The sequence below is a fragment of the Homo sapiens genome, chromosome Y (assembly GCF_000001405.40).
Source record: "Homo sapiens chromosome Y, GRCh38.p14 Primary Assembly".
NCBI lineage: Eukaryota > Metazoa > Chordata > Mammalia > Primates > Hominidae > Homo > Homo sapiens.
The window spans coordinates 2,906,882-2,933,853 of record NC_000024.10 but is presented as its reverse complement, the minus strand read 5'-3'; the positions used below and the strand labels follow the sequence as shown (position 1 = coordinate 2,933,853).

The 26,972-nt window shown below is 37.9% G+C and overlaps 1 pseudogene; it reads left to right on the top strand.

The window, feature by feature from the left end:
- On the top strand, positions 3,484-4,447 carry NAP1L1P2 (nucleosome assembly protein 1 like 1 pseudogene 2; annotated as a pseudogene).

Below are 26,972 nucleotides of genomic sequence, written 5' to 3'. Positions count from 1 at the left end.
AGCCTGGAAAATAGGGCGATCCATCTGTACAAAAAAATTGAAAAGTGCTGGGTGTGGTGGAACACGCCTGTAGTCCCAGCTATGGGAGGCTTAAGCCCATTTGTTTGGGCTATGATTGTGATACCACACTCCAGCCTTTATGACAGAGCAAGATCTTGTATTTAAATAAATAAAATCTTGTTTGAGAAATTTTCATCAAGTTAAGACAATGTATTTTGAGGAAAGAAAAGTATTTTTACATTATGTTTTTCAGTAAAAAAAACTAGCCTAATTTCATATGTAATTAACATAATTTCAAAATACTGATAACGTTCAAGTTTTTAGAGATGGTACCTGGCTCTGCCACGCAGGCTGGAGTGCAGTGGCACCTTCGTAGCTCACTCAGCCTTGAACTCTCTAGTTCAGTGTAACAGCCATGGCCTCCCAAAGCACTGGGATTACAGCTGTAAATCAAATATTTTCCAAAGGCCTTCATTTAATGTCCTTATGGTATGTCAAGAATGGGGTCTCATGTCAACTGTAAGCAACATGGTCAGAACACAAAAAACAAAGTAAACATTATTGTTAATACTTACATGCTTATCAAAAATCCTAGTATTATTATAAAAAATTACCAATATATAAAGCACTTCAGAAAGAACAGCTAAGGAATATAAAGGAAAAAAGATGTTTCCTAATCTGAAAGATCAGAGGTAGTTCAGATAAACTAAACAGCTTTTGACATTACTTTTCATTCATAATGTTAACTTTTGGTGAGAGACAAGGAAAGGATGGTCTAATTTTAGTTGTCATATAAGAAAAGTCTTTATTACAGTCCAAGAAAGATTATAAATGACTACAGATGAAGTCAACTATATTTACATCTTTTTACCTTCTCAAAGAAACACAACAGAGGGAAAATTTATATAGGGACAATGATGAGATAATATTTCAAAAGTATATTGTGAATACAAAATAACTGGCTGCAAAGCAAATAAACTTTTATTACTGATAAAATGTACCTGTTGTTCACAGTTGCTAATGTGTCTCAGCTTTGAAAGTAACTAACCAGCTCACAAAGATCGAGGTTTTAATAAAGTAGCTACAATTGCGTAAAGTAGCTACAATTGCATAAGCAAGACACAGTACAAGGTCTTTATATCTTTTTCCAAAAGAAGATGAAGCAGAAAAATAAAAAAAAGAATTTTACTTCCCATCACTAAGAAGGAATTTACAAAAAAAGATTATACTAGTTTTTGAGAAAACAGAGACACTTCAATAGTATAGAATTAATTCATACACCAAAATGTAAAAGCATGTTATCTAAAATGTCTCAAAAAGCTTTATGGAACCAAAATTTAAAGACATCGTATCTAAAACTTCTCAAAAAGTTTTATAGAACTAAGTGTATTAGGCTGCTATGGAGGCCATAAGAAAATACCACACTGAGTGGTTTAACCAAAAGAAAATTCATTTTCTCACAATTTCAGAGCCCCAAGTCCAAGATCAAAGTATTGACAAGTTTGATTTATTCCAAGGCCTTTCTACTTGGCTTTTAGTGATGGCAGCCTTATCACTATCTTCACCTGATCTTCGCTCTGTGTCTATGTCTGACTCTCTTGTAAGGACACTAGTCATATTGGATTAGAGTTCACCCATATGACCTCATTTTACCTTAATTACCTCTCTGCAAATGCAGGCACAGTTGGAGGTACTTGGAGTTATAATCTGGGGAAGGACACATTTCAGCCCAAAATACTCTACCCTCTGGTCGCTCAAAATGCATCTTATTTCTCACATGCAAAATACATCATTACTAGGGTGTGTCAAAAAACGTTGTGATCCAGTTTGAAGAGGCTTGTACTGGCTAATGATGAGTATCAAAATACCATTTTATTGCAATGCACTTAAACCCATTGGATATATCCAAAATCATGAATCCACAATAACATATTTCAAAAAATTATCACCTTTGAGGAATGGTAGAGAACCAACACTTGTGAGAAGAATGTCTGATTATGAAAAGAATAACATGTTTATCTCATACAAATGTTTTTCCCAACCAAAAACAGTGATAGCAATTTTCTCTTTATAGATGTATTCCCTTTTTCAGTCTGTTTTCTTATCACATGTCATGTAGCCTCCAGAAAACTCCACTGTACACCTGTGGAAAAATAAGAATGCAAGAGGCAGTATTTATGGTTATATGGAAATAGTTTTTTGTTGTTGTTGTTTTTGCTTTTTTTTTGCTTTTGTTTTTAGACAGGGTCTCACTCTGTCACCCAGGCTGGAGTGCCGTGGCGCGATGTTGGCTCACTGCAAGCTCCATCTCCCGGGTTCATGCCATTCTCCTGCCTCAGCCTCCCGAGTAGCTGGAACTACAGGTGCCTGCCACCACGCCCTGCTAATTTTTTGTGTGTGTATTTTTAGTAGAGATGGGGTTTCACCGTGTTAGCCAGGATAGTCTTGATTTCCTGAGCTCGTGATCCACCCGCCTCAGCCTCCCAAAGTGCGGGGATTACAGGCATGAGCCACTGCGGCCGGCCTGGAAATAGTTTCGAAATTCCCCTGTAAGGGTCTGAGGACCCTCAGACCACACTTTGAGAAAGAATTTTTGAGTTAATATGTAACAATAGTTACAAGGAGTGTCCTTGTTATAGCATGTCCAGAGAATGCACAAATATGCCATTTTCATCCACCGAAAGAACTGTAACAGAAATGAGGGATTGCATTTCAGATATTCGGAGTTCTTACATGGCAGACATTGACAACAAAGAAGAGTCTGATCTTGGACAAGATTTGGGGCTGGGTGTGTTTGCTCACACCTGTAATCCCAGCACTTTGAGAAGCCGAGACGGTGGATCACCTAAGGTCTAGAGTTTGAGATCAGCCTGGCCAACATGGCTAAACTACATCTCTACTAAAAATACTAAAATTAGTTGCGCATGGTGGCTTATGCCTATAATCCCAGCACTTTCGGAGGCCAAGGTGGGTGGAGCACCTGAGCTCAGAAGTTCAAGACCAGCCTGGCCAACATGGTGAAACCCCAACTTCTACTAAAAATACAAAAATTAGCTGGGTGCAATGATGTGTGCCTGTAATCCCAGCCTCTTGGGAGGCTGAGGCAGAATTGCCAAGATGATGCCACTGCATTGCAGCTTGGGCAGCAGAATGAGACCTGGCCCAAAAAAAAAAAAAAAAAAAATTGACTGGCATTGAAGAAGTAGAAAAAGAGCAGGCATGGTGGCTCACGCCTGTAATCCCAAGTCTTTGGGAGGCCAAGGCAGGTGGATCATGAGTTCAAGACCAGCCTGGCCAACATGGTGAAACCCTGTCTCTACTAAAAATATAAAAATGAGGTGTGGTGGTGCATGCCTGTAGTCCCAGCTAGTTGGGGGGCTGAGGCAGAGAACTGCTTGAACCTGGGAGGCGGAGGTTGCAGTGAGCTGAGATTGCGCCACTGCATTCCAGCCTGGGCAACAGAGTGAGATTCCGTTTCAAAAAAAGAAAGAAAAGAAAAGAAACTGGTGAAGAGAAAAAAATCAAAGCAGATTTGTTCAGATGATGGAAAATCCTCAGATTCTTACAGGCTTTAGAGAAAGACTTGATGGTTTGGTAGAAAGATCAACAAGATATATTGAATGATTGCCTAAGGTAGTTAAAGATGAGTCAATGCTCTCAAAAACCTGCAACTTAAATGTGCACAGACAGAGGCCAAATTCCATGAGGAAGTTTATGATCCTGAAAGGAAGTATGCTACTCCCTCTCAGCCTCTATTTGATACGTGATTTGATGTTATTAATGCAATTTATGAACTATGGAAGAAAAATGTGAATTGAAAGGAGATAAAGAAGACAAAATTTCAGCTGAAATTCAAAGCTGAAAGAAAGGCCAAGGTTGATCATGAAAAAATGGATGAAGAAAACAAAGACCCCAAAGGAATTCCTAAATTTTGGACTTGCTCAATGATATAGTTCAGGAACATGATGAACCTATTCTGAAGCACTTCAAAGATGTTAAGGTGAAGTTCTCAGATGCTGGCCAACCTATGAGTTTTGTCTTAGAATTTCACTTTGAACCCTGAATATTTCACAAATGAAGTGTTGACAAAGACATATAGTATGAAGTCAAAATCAGAAGACTCTCATCATTTTTCTTTTGATAGGCCAGAAATTATGGGTTCTACAGGGTGCCAGATGGACTGGGAAAAAAGGAATAAAAACCTTTAAGAAGCAGAAACACAAGGAATGTGGGACAGTTTCTAATGGGAATAAAACAGTTTCTGATGACTTTAATTTTTTTCTGCCTGCCTGAAGTTCTGAGAATGCAGTTCTGGATGATGCTGCTGAAGCTGTATTTGCTGCAGACTGTGAAAATGGTGTATAATCCCAAAATCAGTGTTACACTTTACTGGAGCAAGTGTTGAAGATGATGATGATTATGATGAAGAAAGTGAAGAAATGGATGATAAAGAGGAAACAAAAAGAGATGAGAAAAATTATCCAGGCTGGGTATGGTGGCTCACACCTGTAATCCAACACTTTAGGAGGCTGAAACAGGCATATCACTTGAGGCCAGGAGTTAGAGACCACCCTGACCAAAGATCACCCTGGTAAAATCCCATCTCTACCAAAAAATACAAAAATTAGCCAGGTATAGTGGTGCACACCTGAAGTCTCAGCTACTTGGGAGGCTGAGGAAGGTCAATCACCTGAGTCTAAGAGGTTAAGGCTGCAGTGAGCCATGATTATGTCACTGCACTCAGCCTTGTCTGACAGAGTAAGATCCTGTCTCAAAAAAAACAACAATAACAACAACAACAAAACAAAAATCCAAAGCAGGATCAAAACCTCACAGAGAGCAAGCATCAGTAAAGTAAGATGGCCTACCTTCTATTTCCCTAGAAAAGAAATATTTACATCTGACAAGTCTATTTCAAGGTTTGTGTTGTTGTTGTTTTCTTCTTCTTGTTTGCTTGCTGGCTTGTTTGGCTTGTTTTTGTTTTTACAGCCTAAAATAAAAACGTCAAATACAAAAAACAAGTGTACTCCAAGTAATTCATAAAGGATAGACAATAGGAGAATACCACCATTTTGCAAGCCCTAGTACCTAAATTAATCTAAAGCAATGATTATCAGTGACTACTAGAAGACAATTAGATATGTGCCCTATGAAGGATATGCACAATAAGATCTATAAAGTAATTTGTTTCCTAACTCCCCCAAAGCAGTCTTGTACACAATCAATCCTCTAGATTTAACCACTAATTTACAATAAATTTAGGGGCTTAGAGAAACATGTAAAGCCATGGTGGTGGGGAGTGTTTTACAGGAATAGATTAACACAATTCAGAGGGCGAGAAACTCTACTGGACAAATGACTTTTCTTTATTAAATAAAAAATATGAGATAAAAATGGAGGGGAAAATCAATAAATTAGAAGATGCTTAAAAGGCATATTAAACAATTATATAAGATTTATTTTAATCCTGATCCAGAAAAATAACTATAAAAACTATGACTTTGAAATATATAAACTCTTAATATGCCTATATATACAGATATACATGAATATACATCTATTATGATATACAGATACAATACAAATATATATATTATTATATACCTACATATTCTTGTTAATATGTTGAATTTGAATGCTTTTGTTAATGTTTATTTTGACATGATTATGTAATTATACCCTTAAAAAAGAATTCCTATCTTTTAAAGATATGCCATCAAAATATTTTTACAGGAAATGATATTTCAGAAATTTGCTTCAAAAAACTGTGAAGTTGAGGGAGGATCATGAGTGGATCGTGAAATAGGTGAAAGGTATACATGAAATAAGATTTGTCTATGTTGTAACAGTTATAGAAGCTGAGTGATGGATATGTGGAGTAATTCTCCATGTGTGTATATTCAAAATACTTCACAGGTTTGAAAGACAAACAAAGACAAATACAAAAAGAAAAGTTTACCTTCACATTCGCAAGTATTTTTGTTGAGGAACAAGCTCTATAGACACTACTTGCTTCCTTCATGTTTATGTGGACCAATGCAATACCACTTATTTTAAAAACAATTATCTGGGAGGCCAAGGCAGGTGGATCACCTGAGGTCAGGAGTCTGAGACCACCTTGGCCAACATGGAGAAACCCTGACTCTACTAAAAATATAAAAATTAGCCAGGCATGGTGGTATGTGCCTGTAGTTTAAGTTACTCGGGAGCCTGAGGCAGGAGAATCACTTGAACCTGGGAGGCAGAGGCTGCAGTGAGTTGAGATCATGCCACTGTACTCCAGCCTAGGCAACAGAGCAAGACTCCATCTCAAAAAAAAAAAAAAAAAAAAAAAACAAATAAAACAAAACAAGAAACCAATTAGCATAACCAAGGAACAGCTAAATAAAAATCAGACCACTTATATTTCAGAAAACAGCTATAGTTCTTAAATTTCCAGAGAAACATCTTTTTTAAAAAATGGAGATTTCTGGGCCCTACTTGTAGGAACTGATTTTAGGGCTCACGTATCAATAGTTTTCCCCAACACCAAGCACATTTTGAAAAACATTAGCACACTCTTGTAAAATCCTCTTTGTCCAGATCTAAAATAGCTTTTCCACTGAGGATTGTTATTAGTCCATTCTCATGTTGCTAATAAAGACACACCTGAGACTGGGTAATTTATAAAGAAAAGAGGCTTTCCTGACTCACATTTCAAAATGGCTAGGGAGGCCTCAGGAAATTTACAATCATGGTGGAAGGGTAAGCAAACACATCATTCTTTACATGGCAGCAGTGAGGAGAAGTTCCAAGCAAAAGGGGGAAAAGCCCCATATAAAACCATTAGATCTCATGAGAACTCATGCACTATCATGAGAAAAGCAGCAAGCAGGTAACTGCTCCCATGATTCAGTTACCTCCCACCAGGCCACTCCCACAACATGTGGGGATTATGGGAACTATATAATTCAAGATGAGATTTGGATGGGGACATAGCTAAACCATATCAATGATTAATGTTACCAAAATGCCAGGGGTTCAGTCTAGGTCCTGCTGCTCACTGAAAAGGAAGCCATTTACTAAAACAAGAAATATTTATAGGGAAGAAGCTTAATCAGGTGCTGCAGGCAACAAGATAGGAGCTCAGTCTCAAATCCATCGTGCCAAGCAACTAAAGTCAAAGGTTTATATAGCAGGGAAAAAATATAAACACATGCAGAAAAACAGAAATTATGGAGGTGTAAAGAAGATGATTTGGTCAACAGGAAGCAAGTGGTCAGTTATGCAATTGCAATGGGTGAGGGGTCTGGCATCTCATTATCCCAATGGAGTAATCTAGTTATGTTTTAGTTCCTTGATACTACATGGGAGGCCTGATGGTGGGCTGCCTGAGAAAGGAACTCTGATAAGACACACTTTAAAACTTTCCAAGTTCAAGGAGGTATATTTGCCAAAGTTGAGGATACACACCCATGACATAGCCTCAGGATGTCCTCATGACATGTGGCCAAGGTGTTTGGGGCACAGCCTGGTTTGATACATTTCAGGGAGAAATAAGACATCAGTCAATATATGTAAGAAGTACATTGGTTCCATCCAGAAGGGCAGGGACAACTCAAAGCAGGGAGGGGGCTTCCATGTTACAGGTAGGTGAGAGACAAATGGTTGTATTCTTTTGAGTTTCTGAGAAGCCTATCCAAAGGAGGCAATCAGATATGCATCTAACTCAGTGATCAGAAGGATGACTTTGAATATAATGGGAAGCAGATTTGCCCTGAGTAGTTACTACCTTGAAGGGACCCAAGATATTTTCCTTTCACAATGCTGAGAAGGGGCATTTTCGGTAGCTCCATATGATGGTGGCCTCTTGGCCAACTGGGAATCAAAGGTGAAATTAATACTATAGTTTTCTTCTGAAACACAATCTTTCTCTCTCCAGCCCCTTACTTCCACCAAAGATACATAATAGCAGGACCATTTCTAATTAATATTACACACAAATTCTGTTCAGGCCAGGCACAGTGGCTCATGCCTATAATCTCAGCATTTTGGGAGATTGAAACAGGCAGATCACTTGAGCCCAGGAGTTTGAGACCAGTCTGGGCAACATAGGAAAACCCTATCTCTACCAAAAAACAGAAAAAATAGCTGGGTGTGGTGGTTCATGCCTGTAGTTGCAGCTACTCAGGGGGCTGACGTGGAGGTATCATCTGAACCTGGAAGGTTGAGGCTGCAGTAACCTGCAATCACACCAATGCTCTACAGCCTGAAAGCCAAACTGAGATCCTAAAAAAAAGGAAAAGAAAAAATAATTTCAAAAGAGAAAACCAAATTTTACCTTTTTCTGTTGTATTATTAAACTATTTTAATAAACCCTTATAAACAAATCTATTTGATATGATTTTGCTGTGTCCCCTGTGTCACATTGTAACCTCAAATTGTAATCCCTATAATCCCCACCTGCTGTGGGAGGGACACAGTGAAAAGTGAATGGATCATGAGATTTTCCCCATACTGTTTTCATGAAAATGAGTGAGTATCACAAGATCTGATGGTTTTTGTATGTCCATTTTCTTGCTGCTGATAAACACATACCTGAGACTGGGCAATTTATAAAGAAAAAGAGGTTTAATGGAACTCTGAAGTCAATTGCTATAAGGAAATAGTGAATAGTTAGAATTGACTGACACCATATTTTTTTAAATTAGATTATTATAAGGTAAATATTTCATAAGCCTTTAATAATCATTTACAATTTTTTTATTATTATACTTTAAGTTCTGGGGTACATGTGCACAACATGCAGGTTTGTTACATAGGTATACACATGCCATGGTGGTTTGCTGCACCCATCAACCCATCATCTACATTAGGTATTTCTCCTAATGCAATCCCTCCGCTAGCCTCCAACCCACCAACAGGCCCCAGTGTGTGATGTTCCCCTCCCTGTGTCCATGTGTTCTCATTGTTCAACTCCCACTTATGAGTGAGAACAAGTGGTCTTTGTTTTCTGTTCTTGTGTTAGTTTGCTGAGAATGATGATTTCCAGCTTCATCCATGTCCCTGCAAAGGACATGAACACATCCTTTTCTATGGCTGCAGAGTACTCCATGCTATATATGTGCCGTATTTTCTTTATCCAGTCTATCACTGATGTATATTTGGGGTGTTTCCAAGTCTTTGCTCTTGGGAACAGTGCCACAATAAACATACATGTTCATGTGACTTATAATAGAATAATTATAATCCTTTGGGTATATACCCAGTAATGGGATTTCTGGGTCAAATGGTATTTCTAGATCTAGGTCCTTGAGGAATCGCCACACCGTCTTCCACAATGGTTGAACTAATTTACACCCCACCAACAGTGTAAAAGCATTCCTACTTCTCCACATCCTCTGCAGCATCTGTTGTTTCCTGACTTTTTAATGATCACCATACTAACTGGTGTGAGATGGTATCTCATTGTGGTTTTGATTTGCATTTCTCTAATGACCAGTGTTATGAGCCTTTTTTCATATGTTTGTTGGCTGCATAAATGCATTCTTTTCAGAAGTGTCTGTTCATATCCTTCGCCCACTTTTTGATGGGGTTGTTTGTTTTTTTCTTGTAGATTTGTTTTTCTTTGTAGTTTCTGGATATTAGCCCTTTGTTAGATGGATAGATTGCAAAAGTTTTCTCCCATTCTGTAGGCTGCCTGTTCATTCTGATGATAGTTTATTTTGCTATGCAGAAGCTCTTTAGTTTAATTAGATCCCATTTGTCAATTTTGGCTTTTCTTGCCATTGATTTTGGTGTTTTAGTCATGAAGTCTTTGCCCATGCCTGTCCTGAATGGTATTGCCTAGGTTTTCTTCTAGGGCTTTTATGGTTTTAGGTCTTACGTTTAAGTCTTTAATCCATCTTGAGTTAATTTTTGTATAAGGTGTAAGGAGGGAATCTAGTTTTAGCTTTCTGCATATGGCTAGCCAGTTTTCCCAGCACCATTTATTAAATAGAGAATCCTTTCCCCATTTCTTCTTTTTGTCAGGTTTGTCAAAGATCAGATGGTGTAGATGTGTGGTATTATTTCTGAGGCCTCTGTTCTGTTCCATTGGCTATATATCTGTTTTGGTACCAGTACCATGCTGTTTGGGTTACTATAGCCTTGTAGTATAGTTTGAAGTCAGCTAGTGTGATGCCTCCAGCTTTGTTCTTTTTGCTTAGGATTGTCTTGGCTATGCAGGCTCTTTTTTGGTTCCATATAAAATTTAAAGTAGCTTTTTTCCAATTCTGTGAAGAAAGTCAATGGTAGCTTGATGGAAATAGCATTAAATCTGTAAATTACTTTGGACAGTATGGCCATTTTCACGATATTGATTCTTTCTGTCCATGAGTATGGAATGTTTTTACATTTGTTTGTGTCCTCTCTTATTTCCTTGAGCAGTGGTTTGTAGTTCTCCTTGAAGAGGTCCTTCACATCCCTTGTGAGTTGGATTCCTAGGTATTTTATTCTCTTTGTAGCAATTGTGATTGGGAATTTACTCATGATTTGGCTCTCTTTTTGTCTGTTATTGATGTATAGGAATACTTGTGATTTTTGCCCTTTGATATTGTATCCTGAGACTTTGCTGAAGTTTCTTATCAGCTTAAGGAGATTTTGGGCTGAGATGATGGAGTTTTCTAAATATATAGTATGTCATCTGCAGACAGAGACAATTTGACTTCCTCTTTTCCTAATTGAATACACTTTATTTGTTTCTCCTGCCTGATTGCCCTGGCCAGGAATTCCAATACTATGTTGAATAGGAGTGGTGAGAGAGGGCATCCTTGTCTTGTGCTGGTTTTCAAAGGGAATGCTTCCAGTTTTTGCCCATTCAGTATGATATTGGCTATGGGTCTGTCATAATAACTCTAACTATTTTGAGATACGTTCCATCAGTCCCTAGTTTATTGAGAGTTTTTAGCATGAAGGGCTATTGAATTTTGTCAAAGGCCTTTTCTACATCTATTGAGATAATCATGTGGATTTTGTCATTGGTTATGTTTATGTGATGAATTACATTTATTGATTTGCATATGTTGAATCAGCCTTGCTTCTCAGGGATGAAGCTGACTTAATTGTGGTGGATAAGCTTTCTAATGTGCTGCTGGATTTGGTTTGCCAGTATTTTACTGAGGATTTTCACATCGATGTTAATCAGCAATGTTGGCCTGTAATTTTCTTTTTTTGCTGTGTCTCTGCCAGGTTTTGGTATCAGGATGATGCTGGCCTCATAAAATGAGATAGGGAGAATTCCCTCTTTTTCTACTGTTTGAAATAGTTTGTAAAAGAATGGTACTGGCCGGGGATGGTGGCTCATGCTTGTAATCCCAGCACTTTGGAAGGCTGAGGTGGGTGGCTCACCAGGTCAGGAGATCGAGACCGTCCTGGTCAACATGGTGAAACCCCACCTCTACTGAAAAAATAAAAAAAATTAGCTGGGCATGGTGGCGCGTGACTGTAGTCCCAGCTACTCGGGAGGCTGAGGCAGGAGAATCACTGGAGTGGAGGCTGCAGTGAGCCAAGATCATGCCATTGTACTCTAGCCTGGTGACAGAGTGAGACTCTGTCTCAAAAAAAAAAAAAAAGGAACGGTACCAGCTCCTCTTTATACCTCTGGCAGAATTCGCCTGTGGATCTGTCTGGACCTGGAGTTTCTTTAGTTGGTAGGCTATTAATTACTGCCTCAATTTCAAAACTTGTTATTGGTCTATTCAGAGGTTCGACTTCTTCCTGATATAATCTTGGGAGGGCATATGTGTCTAGGAATTTATCCCTTTCTTCTAGATTTGCTAGTTTATTTGCATAGAGATGTTTATAGTATTATTATCTGATGGTAGTTTGTATTTCTGTGGGATTGAGGTGGTATCCCCTGTATCATTTTTTATTGCATCTATTTGATTCTTCTCCCTTTTCTTCTTTAGACTGGCTAGCAGTCTATCTAATTTGTTGATCTTTTAAAAAAAAACAGCTCCTGGATTCATTGATTTTTTGAAGGGTTTTTCATGTCTCTATCTCCTTCAGTTCTGCTCAGATCTTAGTTATTTCTTGTCTTCTGCTAGCTTTAGAATAACCAGTTTAGAGAAGAACATAAATGACCTGATGAAGCTGAAAAACACAGCACAAGAATTTCGTGAAGCATACACAAGTACCAATAGCCAAATCAAACAAGCAGAAGAATAGATATCAGAAATTGTAGATCAATTTAATGAAATAAAGTGAAAGGACAAGATTAGAGAAAAAAGAGTGAAATGAAACACACAAAGCCTCCAAGAAATATGGGACTATGTTAAAAAACCAAACCTACATTTGATTGATGTACCTAAAAGTGACAGGGAGAATGGAACCAAGCTGGAAAACACTCTTCAGGATATGATCCAGGAAAACTCCCCCCACTGAGCAAGACAGGCCAACATTCAAATTCAGGAAACACAGAGAACATCACAAAGATATTCCTCGAGAAGAGCAACCCAAAGACACACAATCATCAGATTCACCAAGGTTGAAATGAAGGGGAAAATGTTAAGGGCAGTCAGAGAGAAATGTTGGGTTACCCACAAAGGGAAGCTGATCAGGCTAACAGTGGATCTCTTGGCAGAAACCCTACAAGCCAAAAGACAGTGGAGGCCAATATTGAACATTCTTGAAGAAAATAATTTTCAACCCAGAATTTCATATCCAACCAAACTAAGCTTCATACGTGAAGGAGAAATAAAATCCTTTACAGACAAGCAAATGCTGAGAGATTTTGTCACCACCAGGCCTGCCTTAAACAAGCTCCTGAAGGAAACGCTAAACATGGAAAGAAACAATCGGTACCAGCCACTGCAAAAACATGCTAGATTGTAAAGACCATCGACACTGTGAAGAAACTGCATCAACTAACAGGCAAAATAGCCAGCTGGCATCATAATGACAGGATCAAATTCACACATGACAATATTAACCTTAAATGTAAATGGGCTAAATGCCCCAATTAAAAGACACAGACTGGCAAATTGAATAAAGAGTCAAGACCCATCAGTGTGCTGTATTCAGGAGACCCATCTCACATGCAAAGACACACATAGGCTCAAAATAAAGGGATGGAGGAATATTTACCAAACAAATGGACAGCAAAAAAAAGCAGGGGTTCCAATCCTAGTCTCTGATAAAACAGACTTTAAGCCAACAAAGATCAAAAAAAGACAAAGAAGGGCATTACATCATGGTAAAGGAATCCATGCTACAAGAAGAGCTAAGTATTATAAATATTTATGCACCCAATATAGGAACACCCCGATTCATAAAGCAAGTTCTTAAGACCTACAAAGAGACTTAGGCTCCCACACAATAATAGTGGGAGACTTTAACATCCCACTGTCAATATTAGACAGATCAATGAGGCAGAAAATTAACAAGGATATCCAGGACTTGAACTCACTCTGGACCAAGCAGACCTAATAAACATCTACAGAACTCTCCACCCCAAATCAACAAAATATACATTTTTCTCAGCACCACATCACACTTATTCTAAAATTGATCACATAATTGGAAGTAAAACACTCCTCAGGAAATGAAAAAGAATGGAAATCATAACAGTCTGTCAGATCACAGTGCAATCAAATTAGAACTCAGGATTAAGAAACTCACTCAAACCACACAACTACGTGGAAACTGAACCCTGAATGACTACTAGGTAAATAAGAAAATAAAAGCAGAAATAAAGATGTTCTTTGAAACCAATAGAACAAAGACACAACGTACCAGAACCATTTACAATTTTTTATTAAAGAGCAGATCAATGCTCCAAGAAAACCCTGTTATTCTGACACAGAGGACCAGGTCCTGGACTTACATCAGTGTGCTTTTGACATTAATGTTTAATATATAGAAAATCTCTCAACTAATTTTCAGATAATTCAAAGAATCAGAATCATCCATCTTCCACAATAGTCCCTGGGCCTATATGGATTGAATAGTTTTGATTTCTGGACCTCTGTTTCACAAGAACCGTGCATTTTGATTGATTAGTATGGAAACAAAAAAGAGCCCTCATAGCTAAAGCAACACTAAGCAAAAAGAACAAATCTGGAGGTGTCACAGTACCCAACTTCAAACTATACTACAAGGCTTTAATTACCAAAACAGCTATGGTATTGTTGCAGGACTTTTCATTAGTTCAGCTAAAGACTGGGCTCCTGTCCGTCCCACAGCCACAGAAATTTAGGTTCACAGATGGCTTAAAGGGTGAGTAATGGAGGGTTTTATTGGGTGAAAGGGGAAAATAAAGGGAAACAGGGATCTTTCACAAGGCCAGATCAAGACCCATCAAATGAAGATGGGTCTGAAGGTAAGGCTTTAATTGGTTTCAACATTCAAGATTTAAGAGAAGTAGAGGATACAAACAAATGGAAGAACCTTCCATGCTCATGGGTAGGAAGAATCAATATTGTGAAAATGGCCATACTGCCCAAGGTAACTTATAGATTCAATGCCATCCCCATCAAGCTACCAATGACTTTCTTCACAGAATTGGAAAAAACTACTTTAAAGTTCATATGGAACCAAAAAAGAGCCCGCATCGCCAAGTCAATCCTAAGCAAAAAGAACAAAGCTGGAGGCATCACTCTACCTGACTTCAAACGATACTACAAGTCTACAGTAACCAAAACAGCATGGTATTGGTACCAAAACAGAGATATAGATCAATGGAACAGAACAGAGCCCTCAGAAATAACGCCGCATATCTACAACTACCCGATCTTTGACAAACCTGAGAAAAACAAGCAATGGGGAAAGCATTCCCTATTTAATAAATGGTGCTAGGAAAACTGGCTAGCCATATGTAGAAAGCTGAAACTGGATCCCTTCCTTACACCTTATACAAAAATTAATTCAAGATGGATTAAAGACTTAAACGTTAGACCTAAAACCATAAAAACCCTAGAAGAAAACCTAGGCATTACCACTCAGGACATAGGCATGGGCAAGGACTTCATGTCTAAAACACAAAAAGCAATGGCAACAAACGTCAAAATTGACAAATGGGATCTAATTAAACTAAAGAGCTTCTGCACAGCAAAAGAAACTACCATCAGAGTGAACAGGCAACCTACAAAATGGGAGAAAATTTTTGCAACCTACTCATCTGACAAAGGACTAATATCCAGAATCTACAATGAACTCAAACAAATTTACAAGAAAAAAACAAACAACCCCATCAAAAAGTAGGCAAAGGATATGAACAGACACTTCTCAAAAGAAGACATTTATGCAGCCACAAGACACATGAAAAAATGCTCATCTTCACGGGCCATCAGAGAAATGCAAATCGAAACCACAATGAGATACCATCTCACACCAGTTAGAATGGCAATCATTAAAAAGTCAGGAAACAACAGGTGCTGGAGAGGATGTGGAGAAATAGGAACAATTTTACACTGTTGGTGGGACTGTAAACTAGTTCAACCATTGTGGAAGTCAGTGTGGCGATTCCTCAGGGATCTAGAACTAGAAATACCATTTGACCCAGCCATCCCATTACTGGGTATATACACAAAGGACTATAAATCATGCTGCTATAAAGACACATGCACATGTATGTTTATTGCAGCACTATTCACAATAGCAAAGACTTGGAACCAACCCAAATGTCCAACAATGATAGACTGGATGAAGAAAATGTGGCACATATACACCATGGAATACTATGCAGCCATAAAAAATGATGAGTTCATGTCCTTTGTAGGGACGTGGATGAAATTGGAAATCATCATTCTCAGTAAACTATCGCAAGGACAAAAAAACCAAACACCACATGTTCTCACTCATAGATGGGAATTGAACAATGACAACAATGACAACACATGGACACAGGAAGGGGAACATCACACTCTGGGGACTGTTGTGGGGTGGGGGGAGGGGGGAGGGATAGCATTAGGAGATATACCTAAAGCTAAATGATGAGTTAATGGGTGCAGCACACCAGCATGGCACATGTATACATATGTAACTAACCTGCACATTGTGCACATGTACCCTAAAACTTAAAGTGTAATAATAATAATGATAATAATAATAATAATAAAAGGAAGTAGCTGCCTTTTTCAGACCCAGAAGTCAAAACTCTGTAACTTAACAGCACGAATAGTAGTTAATAGAATATTTACAATGCAGAATGTCTACTGCAGTTCTCTCTAGCATTTAACAAGTTAAAATACTGTAATTTGATGTTTAGTAGTTGCTGCCTCCAGAATTTCAAACCACTGTGGGAAAGTGAATAGGTATTAGCCAATCAAACAACAGAAAGAAACAAAGGGCATCCAAATCAATACATAGAAAGTCAAACTGTCACTGTTCAGTGATGATATGATTGTATACCTAGAAAACCCTAAAGACTCATCCAAAAAGCTCCTAGATCCAATAAATGAATTCAGTAAAGTTTCATGATACAAAATCAATGCACACAGTGCACACACCAACAATGACCAAGCTAAGATTCAAATCAATAACTCAATCACTTTTATGACAGCTGCCAAAAAATAAGTTAAAATACTTAGAAATATACCTAACCAAGGATGTGAAAGATCTCTACAAGGAAAACTACAATACACTGCTGAAAAAAATCACAGACGATAACACAAACAAATGGAAACACATTCCATGCTCCTGGATGGGTAGAATCAATATTGTGAAAATGAGTATAGTATCAAAGCAATATACAAATTTTTGATGCAATTCCCATCAAAATACCACTATCTTTCCTCACAGAACTAGAAAAAAACAATCCTAAAATTCATATGGAAACAAAAAAGAGCCCTCATAGCTAAAGCAACACTAAGCAAAAAGAACAAATCTGGAGGTGTCACAGTACCCAACTTCAAACTATACTACAAGGCTATAATTACCAAAACAGCTATGGTATTGTTGCAGGACTTTTCATTAGTTCAGCTAAAGACTGGTTTCCTGTCCATCCCACAGCCACAGAAATTTGGGTTGACAGGTGGTTTAAAGGGTGAATAATGGAGGGTTTTATTGGGTGAAAGGGGAAAATAAAGGGAAACAGGGATCTTTCACAAGGCCAGATTCCCCTCCTAGAAGACGAGGAGCCAGGTTCCTCCCAGCTGTAAACGTGATGAGCTCCCAGAGCCTCCCCCCACTTCAGTGGGCAGACTGGTTGGCGTTTCTCCAGGGACTCCCTACCCCCTGGCTGTCTCGGTATTGGTATAAATACAGGCACAAAGACCAATGGAAAAAATAGAGAACCCAGAAATAAAGCCAAATATTTTCAGCCAACTGATCTTCCACAAAGGAAACAAAAACATAGGAAGGAAAAAGACACCATATTAAATAAATGGTGCTGGGATAACTGGTAAGCCACATGTGGAAGAATGAAACTGGATCCTCAACTCTCCCCTTACACAAAAGTCAACTGAAGATGAATCAAAGCCTTAAATCTAAAACATAAAACCATAAAAATTCTAGAAGATAACATTGGAAAAACCCTTCTAGACATTGGCTTAGGCAAAGAGTTCATGACCAAGAACACAAAAGCAAACTCAATACAAATAATTTAAAAAAACAAAAATAAATAGATGTAACCTAATTAAACTAAAAAGCTCCTCTGCAATGCAAAAGAAATAATCAATAGAGAAAACAGACAACACACAGAGTGGGAGAAAAATCTTCACAAACTATGTGTCTGAAACCTGGGAGGCCAGATGGTTAGTTTTCTGAGAAAGGAATTCAGATAAGACAAATTAAACGTTCTCAAGTTTCAAAGCTTGTAGGGTCTATGTCTATGTTTATTAAAATATGATTATATATATCAGTTTTATAAAATAATTTGTCCTGTTTCATTAAGCCATAAAACTAATGGGTTTACATTAGTAAAAACCATTTACTAATGGTTTTTACATTATTTTACCATAATATGCCCAGTATACCAGGAGTCATTCTTTCAAGCAAGAAGAGTGTTCTCCATTCCCTGCTCCTTAGCCAACCAACTCTTGATACTGTTTATGTCTGTCAACCCAGGAACTGTGAAATGCTAACATTGTTTTAATTTTATAATTTCTTTGTGGTATATTAGCTATGCAATTTTTCTTTTCTGAAAATTTCCTTGGAACAACCTGTTGCTTTGTTGTTGTTGTTCTTGTTTTTTTTTTTTTTTGTTTGTTTGTTTTTTTTGGAGTTGCTCTTCCTTCTCCTTTTTTTGTAGACACATTTTACACATTATGAATATCAATCTTTTTTTTTTTTTTTCTGAGACAGAGTCTCGCTTAGTTGCCCAGGCTGGAGTGCAGTGGCGCTGATCTCAGCTCACTGCAAGCTCCACCTCCCGGGTTCACGCCATTCTCCTGCCTGAGCCTCCCAAGTAGCTGGGACTACAAGCCCACGCTGCCACGCCCGGCTAATTTTTTTTATATTTAGTAGAGATGGGGTTTCACGGTGTTAGCCAGGATGGTCTCGATCTCCTGATCTCGCGATGCCCCCCTCTCAGCCTCCCAAAGTGCTGGGATTACAAGCGTGAGCCACCACGCCCAACCCCTTTATTTCTTTTTCAAGCCTGACTCCTCTGGCCAGGACTTCTAGTATTATAGTAAAGTGGTAAAAGTGAGCATCTTCTCTTGTTACAGATTTTACAAAAAAAGACCTCCAATTTTTTTTTCTGTAAAATATGATTTTAGCTGTAAATTTGTCCATAAAGTTACTGTTTAGATGTAAACATGTCCTGTATTATTTTGAGGTATATCATTACTTCTACGGCCAGTTTAAGTCTTTTGTCATAAAGTGTTGTTAAATTTTATTTAAGAGCTTTTATTTTGCATCCGTTGAAATAATCATGTGGTTTTTGTTCTTTCTTCTGTTAATGTATCACATTTACCGATTTGTGTATGTTGAACCATTATTTCATCCCTGGGATATAGGACATTTGATCATGGTAAATAATATTCTTAATGTCAAATTTGGCTTCTTAGTAATTTATTGAGGATTTTTTGCATCTAAGTTTATCAGTGCTACTGGCATGTAGTTTTTCTCTTTTTGTTGTGTTCCCGTCTGGTTTCGGTATCAGGGTAATGCTAAACCTACAGAATGAGTTTGGAAGTATTCCCTCCTCTTCCATTTACTTTTAAGGAGTTTGAGTAGAACTGATATTTGTTCTTCCTTAGATGTTTCATAGAATTTAGCAGTGAAGGCATCAATTTTGTGCTTTTCTTTCACGGATGACTTTTTCTTATGGCTTTAATAACATTACTCATTACTGGTGTGTTGAGGTTTTCCATATCATCATGGTTCACCTTGGAACTTGTACGTATCCAGGGTCTGTATTCGGTGGTCTCAGTTGTTACATCTTTTTTATTTCTGATTTTATTCAATCTCCTCTTTTCTTAGTCTGATAAGGTTTTGTCAATTTATCTTTAAAAACAATTATTTCATTAATATTTTGTATTTTCTCAATTTTATTTATATATGCTGTGATCTTTATTATTTCTTCTTTCTACTTGGGTTTGGTTTGTTCTTACTTTCCTAGTTCCTTGAGGTGAACCATTAGGTTGTTATTTTGATGTCTTCTTACTTTTTCAATATAGTTGTTCATTGCTATAAACTTCCCATTTAGTACAGCTTAGTACTGTTTTTGCTAAACACAGAATTTGGTGTGTTGTAGTTCCATGTTCCTTTGCTTCAAAAAAATTAAATTTCTTCACTGTCTTTTGACTTCAATAAAAGAAAAAAAAAATAAATGTTTCCTTAATTTCTATGCTGACCAACTGGTCATTCAGGAACATAGTGTTTAGCTTCCACGTATTTGTGTATTTCCCAAGATTCTTCTTGTTACAGATTTCTAGTGATATTCCACTGTGGTCAGACAAGATACCTGATATTATTTTTATTTTTTTGAGTTTTTTCAGACTTGTTAAGTGGCCTAAGATATAATCTCTTCTGCAGAATATTTCACGTGCTGATAAAATTCTGTGCAGCAGTTGGATAAAATGTTCTGTAAATGTCATTTAAGCCTATTATGTCTAGTACACTGTTTAACTCTGATATTTCTTTGTTGATTTTCTGTGTGAATCCATCATTACTGAGAATGGATTCATAGTCACCTACTATTATTATTTGCATTCTGTCTCTCCCTTGAGATCCATTATTTGCTGTATATACTTGGAAGCTCTGGTGTTGTGTGCAAATGTATTTGTAACTGTTATATCCTCTTGCTGAATCATTATATAGTGACCTTTTTTTGTTTCTTTTTGTGTTTGATTAGTCATTTATTTAATCTGACATAATCATAACTACTTCTACTCATTTTTGCTTTCCAATTGCATGGAATATTTTCTCCCACTTGTTTGTTTTCAGTCTCTGTGTCTCTATAGGTAAAGTGGGTTTCTTGTAGGTAGCATAAAATTGGGTCTCATTTCTGAATCCATTCAGCCACTCTATGCCTTTTAACTGATCAATTGATTCCAATTACATCCACTGTTATGAAGGACTTACACTGGGTTTGGTGAAGCTGCAGTGAGTCATGATTTTGCCACTGCCCTCTGCTGGGTGACAGAAGAAGATCCTGTCTCAAAAAAATATTTTTTTTAAAAAAAGCACTTACTACTGCCATTTTGTGGCAAGTTTTCACATTCTTTTTAAACTGTTTTCCCTTTCTCACTGTCTTTCTTTGTGGTTAAGTGATTGTCTCTGGTACTGTGGCTTAATTCATTGCTTTTCAGATTGTCTCTTAAAGATGTTTGCATTGTGGTTACCATGAGGCTTACAAAAAAAAAATCTTACAGTAAGTTATTTTAAGTGAAGACGACTAATTTTAGATTATACAGAAACAAAGGCATAAAGAAAAATTCTGGACATTAATTCAATCACCTCTACATTTTGACTTTTATTTGTATCAATTTATATATTTTTATATTACTCACCTCAACATGTTATTGTAGCTATCAACATTTGGACTTCCTACTACAATTAGAAGTGAATTGCATATTACAATTACATTTCTCAGTTTGTCTGTGTACTAAATTTAACCAGTGGCTTTTATACAGTCAAATTCATTCTTTTTGCATGGTGCTTTATTATTTCACAGGTACCCTGGCCAAAGAAGAAGAGTTATTTTTAGCATGTCTTGTAAAGTAGTTCTGATGGTGTTGACTTCTCTGATTTGTCACTCTGAATAACAATTTATCTCTCCTTCATATGTAAAGACTAGCTTTTTGAACACAGTATTCTTGGATGGTAGGGGTGTGTGTGTGTGTGTGTGTGTGTGTGTCTTTTCCCCTGTTTTTAGCCCTTTGAAAATATTGTCTGCTCTCTCCTGGTCTGTATGGTCTCTGCTGAGAAGTCTGTTCCCAGAAAATTCTGAGCTCCTTGATGTTATTTGGTTTTCTCTTGCTGCTTTTAGGGTCCCCTCTCTGTCTTTGATCTTTTAGAGTTTTATTGTTATATGCCTTGGGGTAGACTTCTTTGAATTGAATCTGTTTGTTGTTCTCTGAACTTCTCGTACATGAATACATCTTGTTAAATTTTGGAAACTTTTTTATTACTATTTATTTGAATAAGTCCCCCACCCCTTGCTGTTGCTCAACTTTGTCTTGAACACCAATAATTCTGAAGTTTGTTTTTTCTTTGAGGTAATTTTCTATTCCTTTTTATCCTTTTTTTTTTTAATTTTCCTCTGTGTGTTTTCAAATAGCCTGTTTACGAGCTAATTCCTTATTCTGCTGAATCCATCCTGCTGTTAAGAACCTCTAACAAATTTTTCAGTTTATCAAAAGTATTTATTAGTTTCAAGATTTGCATGCTTTTAAAGTTATATATTTGAATGTCCATTAAATTTCTCTGATAAGTTTTTGATGGCTTTTCTGTATTGTGTTGAAGATTATTGAGTTTCCTTAAAATTCTACTTTGAATTATTGGTTAGAGAGCTCACATATTGGCATCTTGTTAGAGTCAGTCACTTTTTTCTTGTTTTCTCTGTTTGGAAAGGTCATAGTTTCCTCTTTGCTGTTGTTTCTTATGCATGTCTTTGCATTGAAGGATAGGTTACATATTGCAGTCTTACCCGTCTGGCTTCTTTTGCTTTTTATTGGATATATTTGCTTAAATTCTTTACTGCTAAGTTGCTGCCTCTTTTTAACTCTAGTTTGTATCTTAAGCCCAGGTTTGCTTGGGTGTATTAAATAATTCGAGTACTGCCCAGTTTGAATGAGGGAGGTTCCAAAGGGGATATCCCAGCAGAGTGGGAATGCTACCTAGGCATTTTTGGCCAGGGTACCTATGAAATGCACTTCTTGCATCATAGTGCTCCTGACAAGCCACTCTGATTTGGCATCTCTTTGGCCAAGTTACAGAGCACATTTTCCAGGGATAGGGATGGTAATCTCACTGCTCCTCTTTGTTTCTGCCTATCCTCATGGATATGTCTCCCTTGTCTTTCACTTTTCTGTGATCCTTGCATCTGTCTTGTCCTCACATTTGAGTTCTGGGATGTTGCTGATGATCATCTTGGTGCTGTATGTCTGTAAGTCAGCTCGATTTTACAGCATCGTTTTTGAACTAGACCCTGAAAATTTAAAACTGGCTTGTTTGGGAAATTGACTGTCATTTCTCTTTTTATTTGTTGGAAGGTCAGATAATTTAATTCACATTTGGGGATGCGGAACATTAGCATGTGTGACCCCAGTTTAATTTTTAGTCTGGTCTTTTCGGACCTACTGCAGAAGCATAGTTCAATAACATCCTATAATTTTTACTTGACATTATGAGAAGAAAATCAAAAGGGAAAACAGAAAATACTTTAAAAATAAATGAAAAAAATTGACACACCAAAACTTGCAAAATGCATCTAAAGCATGACTTAGAGAAAAAGTTTGGCAGTAAATGCCTACATTAAATGAGAAGACCTCAGATCAATAACCTAACCTTCTATCTAGTGACACTGCAAAAGAAAAGCAAAACCAAACCACAAACAAGCATAAGATAGAAAATAATAACGATTAGGGTGGATTCAGTGAAACTGAGAATAGTAGAGACAATCAATAAAACAAAATGCTGGCTGTATAAAAAATAACAAAATTGACAAATTTTACATGAAAAGTTTCATATAACTAGTGAGAAACAGGACTAGCTGGATTTCCTAGGCCGACTAAGAATTCCTAAGCCTCTATGGGGAAGGTGACTGCACCCATCAATAAACAGGGGGCTTGTAACTCAGCTCACATCCAACCAATCAGGTAATAAAGAGAGCTCACTAAAATACTAATTAGGCTAAAAGCAGGAGGTAAAGAAATAGTCAAATCATCTATAGCCTGAGAGCACAGGGGGAGGGAAAATGATCGGGATATAAATCCAGGCATTCAAGCCAGATCAGGCAACCCCCTTTGGGTCCCTTCCAATTATATGGGAGATCTGTTTTCACTCTATTAAATCTTGCAACACCACACTCTTCTGGTCTGTGTTTGTCCAGCACAAGCTGAGCTTTCACTCACCGTTCACCACTGCTGATCGCCGCCATCATAGACCCGTGACTTCCACCCCTCCAGATCCAGCAGGGTGTCCAATGTGCTTCTGATTCAGCAAGGCACCCATTGCCACTCCCAATCTGCCTAGAGGCTTGTCATTGTTCCTGTGCGGCTAAGTGCCCAGGTTCGTCCTAATTGAGCTGAACACTCGTTGCTGGGTTCCACAGTTCTCTTCTGTGACCCACGACTTCTAATAGAGCTATAACTCACCACCTGCCCCAAGGTTCCATTCCTTGGAATCCATGAGGCCAAGAACCCCAGGTCAGAAAACAAAAGGCCATCTTGGGAGCAGCCAGCCACCATCTTGGTAGCTCTAAGAACAAAGAACCACCTGTAACATTAGAATCAGAGATATCAGAAGGGACATTACTATCAACCCTGGAGAAAAATTAAATGAAACAAATACCTTGAAAGACACAAATGATTAGAATAAAATTAAGAGAAACAAATCTGAATACATCAATTACCAATTATTCAATTTTCTGAACACCAACTATTGTCCAACCATTGAATTCATATCTGTCTCTATCTCTCTCTCTTTTTTTTTTTTTTTAACTCCTGGAGCTACCCATTGTGAACTATCAATTATTTCCAACACTAAATAACTGGAGTTTCGGAACACTCCACAGATTTAAATAGAGTTATGCCTATTTAATATATGAGTTCTTAGTCCCAAGAAATCTGTACTACTGACAGACTGGCTACATATTAGTTTCCCATAATTCTCTCCTCAAGTCCAATAATTCCCTGGAATGGCTAAAAGAGAAGCCAGAAAAATACCCATGATTGCTGCCTTATTACAAAAGATACACTCGACTTCCATGCCCAGTCTTGGCATGCTACTGTGAGCTTAGAAGTGCTTCCAACTTTCCGTCAGTGACTCCATCTTAGGCTACCAATGCCATATTGAACTACTCTTGAATACTGAAAAACAGAAAGGAATGCTGAAACACACTTCTTTCACAACAACCATATTTTCAACCATATGCAATATAAAGAAACTGGTCCTAATACTGACAAACATTCTATATGTGCTTTTCTTTGGATTAACACAACTACACTTACTCTACTAATGATTACAGACTTAATTGTTGAATCCACCAATAAAATAATGAGACAATTTACATAGTCTAAATAAGTTCCTTTAAATGTAAGCCCCCACACCCTCTCAGGTGGTACAGTCTCTAACTGCTACCCAGGTTGCAACATCCATTTCAGAGTAAATGCTTATTTGTGTTTGATTGGTTGATTCTGTCTTTCTTTTTAGGGTTCACAGTTGGTGTCAGGAGCATGGTTGCAAAGTGACTTTATCCTTCATGGTTCCAGGGGTCTTGGTCATCCATGAGGTACCTACTGAAACCTTGTTGCACTTTGGGATCTTAGTGTCCTTTGGTACCAGGAGTGATAAGCTCTCTTGCATGCCAAACAACTTTCATATTGATTGAGATCTCTCTTTTGTTCAGGATTTGTTGGCATCGCTCCTTGTCAGTCTTTTTGCTTGTTTCCATTTTAAGTTCAGACAAGGAAAGGATAAAAGCCTTTGTTTTAAGCAAACTGAAAGTTCCTCTCTCTCCAGAGGGAATCTAGATTGTTATAGGTTTAGGTGTTATGGGTTTTTAATCTAAATTATGTGTTTTTATCTAAAAGGCTCTGTTTGACTAACAATAGTTTGGAGTTGCAGTAGTCCCTTTGGGGCTCATTTGGCCTTTTCAAACTATTTTTTGAAGACAACACCTTGAAAATAAAAAGGGTTGCACTTCTCAGAATGAGTAAAGGGTATGGAAGTGTAATTTAATTAGCACTCAGAAGCCTTAAAAAGTCCACTAAATCGAATATACCTTCTCCGCAAGACAGTATGTCTCTACCCTTCTAGAGTAAAAAAAAAATAAAAATAAAATTAGAATAAAAATTTAGACCATGGGTGGTTCATGCATGTAATCCCAGTGCTTTGGGAGGCAGAGTTGGAAGAATTGTCTGAGGCCAAGAGATCAAGACCAGCATGGGTAAAATAGTGAGACTTTACCCCCACAAAAGAATAAAAACATTAGCTAGGCATGGTGGCATGTACCTATAGTCCTGACTATTTGGGAGGCTAAGGCAAGAGAATCTCTTGAGCCCAGGAGTTGGAGGCTGCAGTGAGCTATGACTGCACCACTGCACTCCAGCCTGGGTGACAGAGTAAGACCTTATCTCTTTAAAAAATGGAAAAATAAAGTAAAAATCTTAACAGGAATGTCCATCTCCAACATTTGTAAATTCTAAAATTACAATTCTTTCCCCTTTACAGTCACCTAAAACAGCTGAACCTAAACTTGTCTACAAGCCCCCAAACAAGGGAGCAGAAGGCTTTCCCATCCTTCCTCCAATTCCTGCGTATGCATTTCAACACCACTCAATAATAAACAGAATCTATTAGTGGCTTCTTACACTCTCTGGTCCCACTGAGTTGCATGCAATAGCCAAAAAGTTTGCCAGGGTGACTGAGGAGGACTCCATAAATTTGCCCAGGAATGTACAGCAGTTGGCCCATTTTATATTGCTGGATATTGATTTATATCAGCTAATACGTCTGCTTTTGGGTCAGGATGAGCAAATTATTGGGCAAAAATGGCAAGACAGAAAAATTCTTCTGATGATTTAAGATGAAATCTGCTGCACCATATGAAAAAAAAGCTACAGAGTTGGCTAAGAAGAGCTATTCCTTTAGCTTCCCAAAGCAAGAATGAAATAAATTTCAGACTTGCATTCCAAAAGAAAGTAAACACGTTCATGATAATAACAGATTTGTGTAATATTTAAAGAAAATTCTGGAATTTTGTTTAAATTCCATGCCTGTTGCTCATGCCTGTAATCCTAGCACTTTGGGTCACTGAGGTGGGAGGAGTGCTTGAGTCAAGGAGTTTGAGACTAGCCTGAGCAACATAGTGGGGCACTGCCTCTTAAAAACTACAAAAATAAGTAGGCATAGTAGCTCATGCCTGTAATTCTAGCACTTTGGGAGGCCAAGGTGGGCGGCTCACCTCAGGTCAGGAGTTCAAGACCAGCCTGACCAGCATGGTGAAACCCCATCTCTACTAAAAATACAAAATTAGCTAAGCATGGTGGTGTGTGCCTATAATCTCAACTACTTGGGAAGCTGAGGCAGGAGAATTGCTTGACCCTGGGAAGCGGAGGTTGCAGTGAGCCGAGATCGCGCCATTGTAACTCCAACCTGGGCAATAAGAGTGAAACTCCATCTTGAAGAAAAAAAAAAAAAATCACCTAGGCACACCTGCCTGCAGGCCCAGTCAGTCAGGAGGCTGAGGTGGGAAGATGGCTTGAGCCCAGGAGGTTGAGGCTGCAGTGAGCCATGATGGCACCACTGCAACAGAGTGATGGGCAACAGAGTGAGACCATGTCAAGAAAAAATAAGGAGAAGGAGGCTGGGTGTGGTGGCTCACGCCTGTAATCCCAGCACTT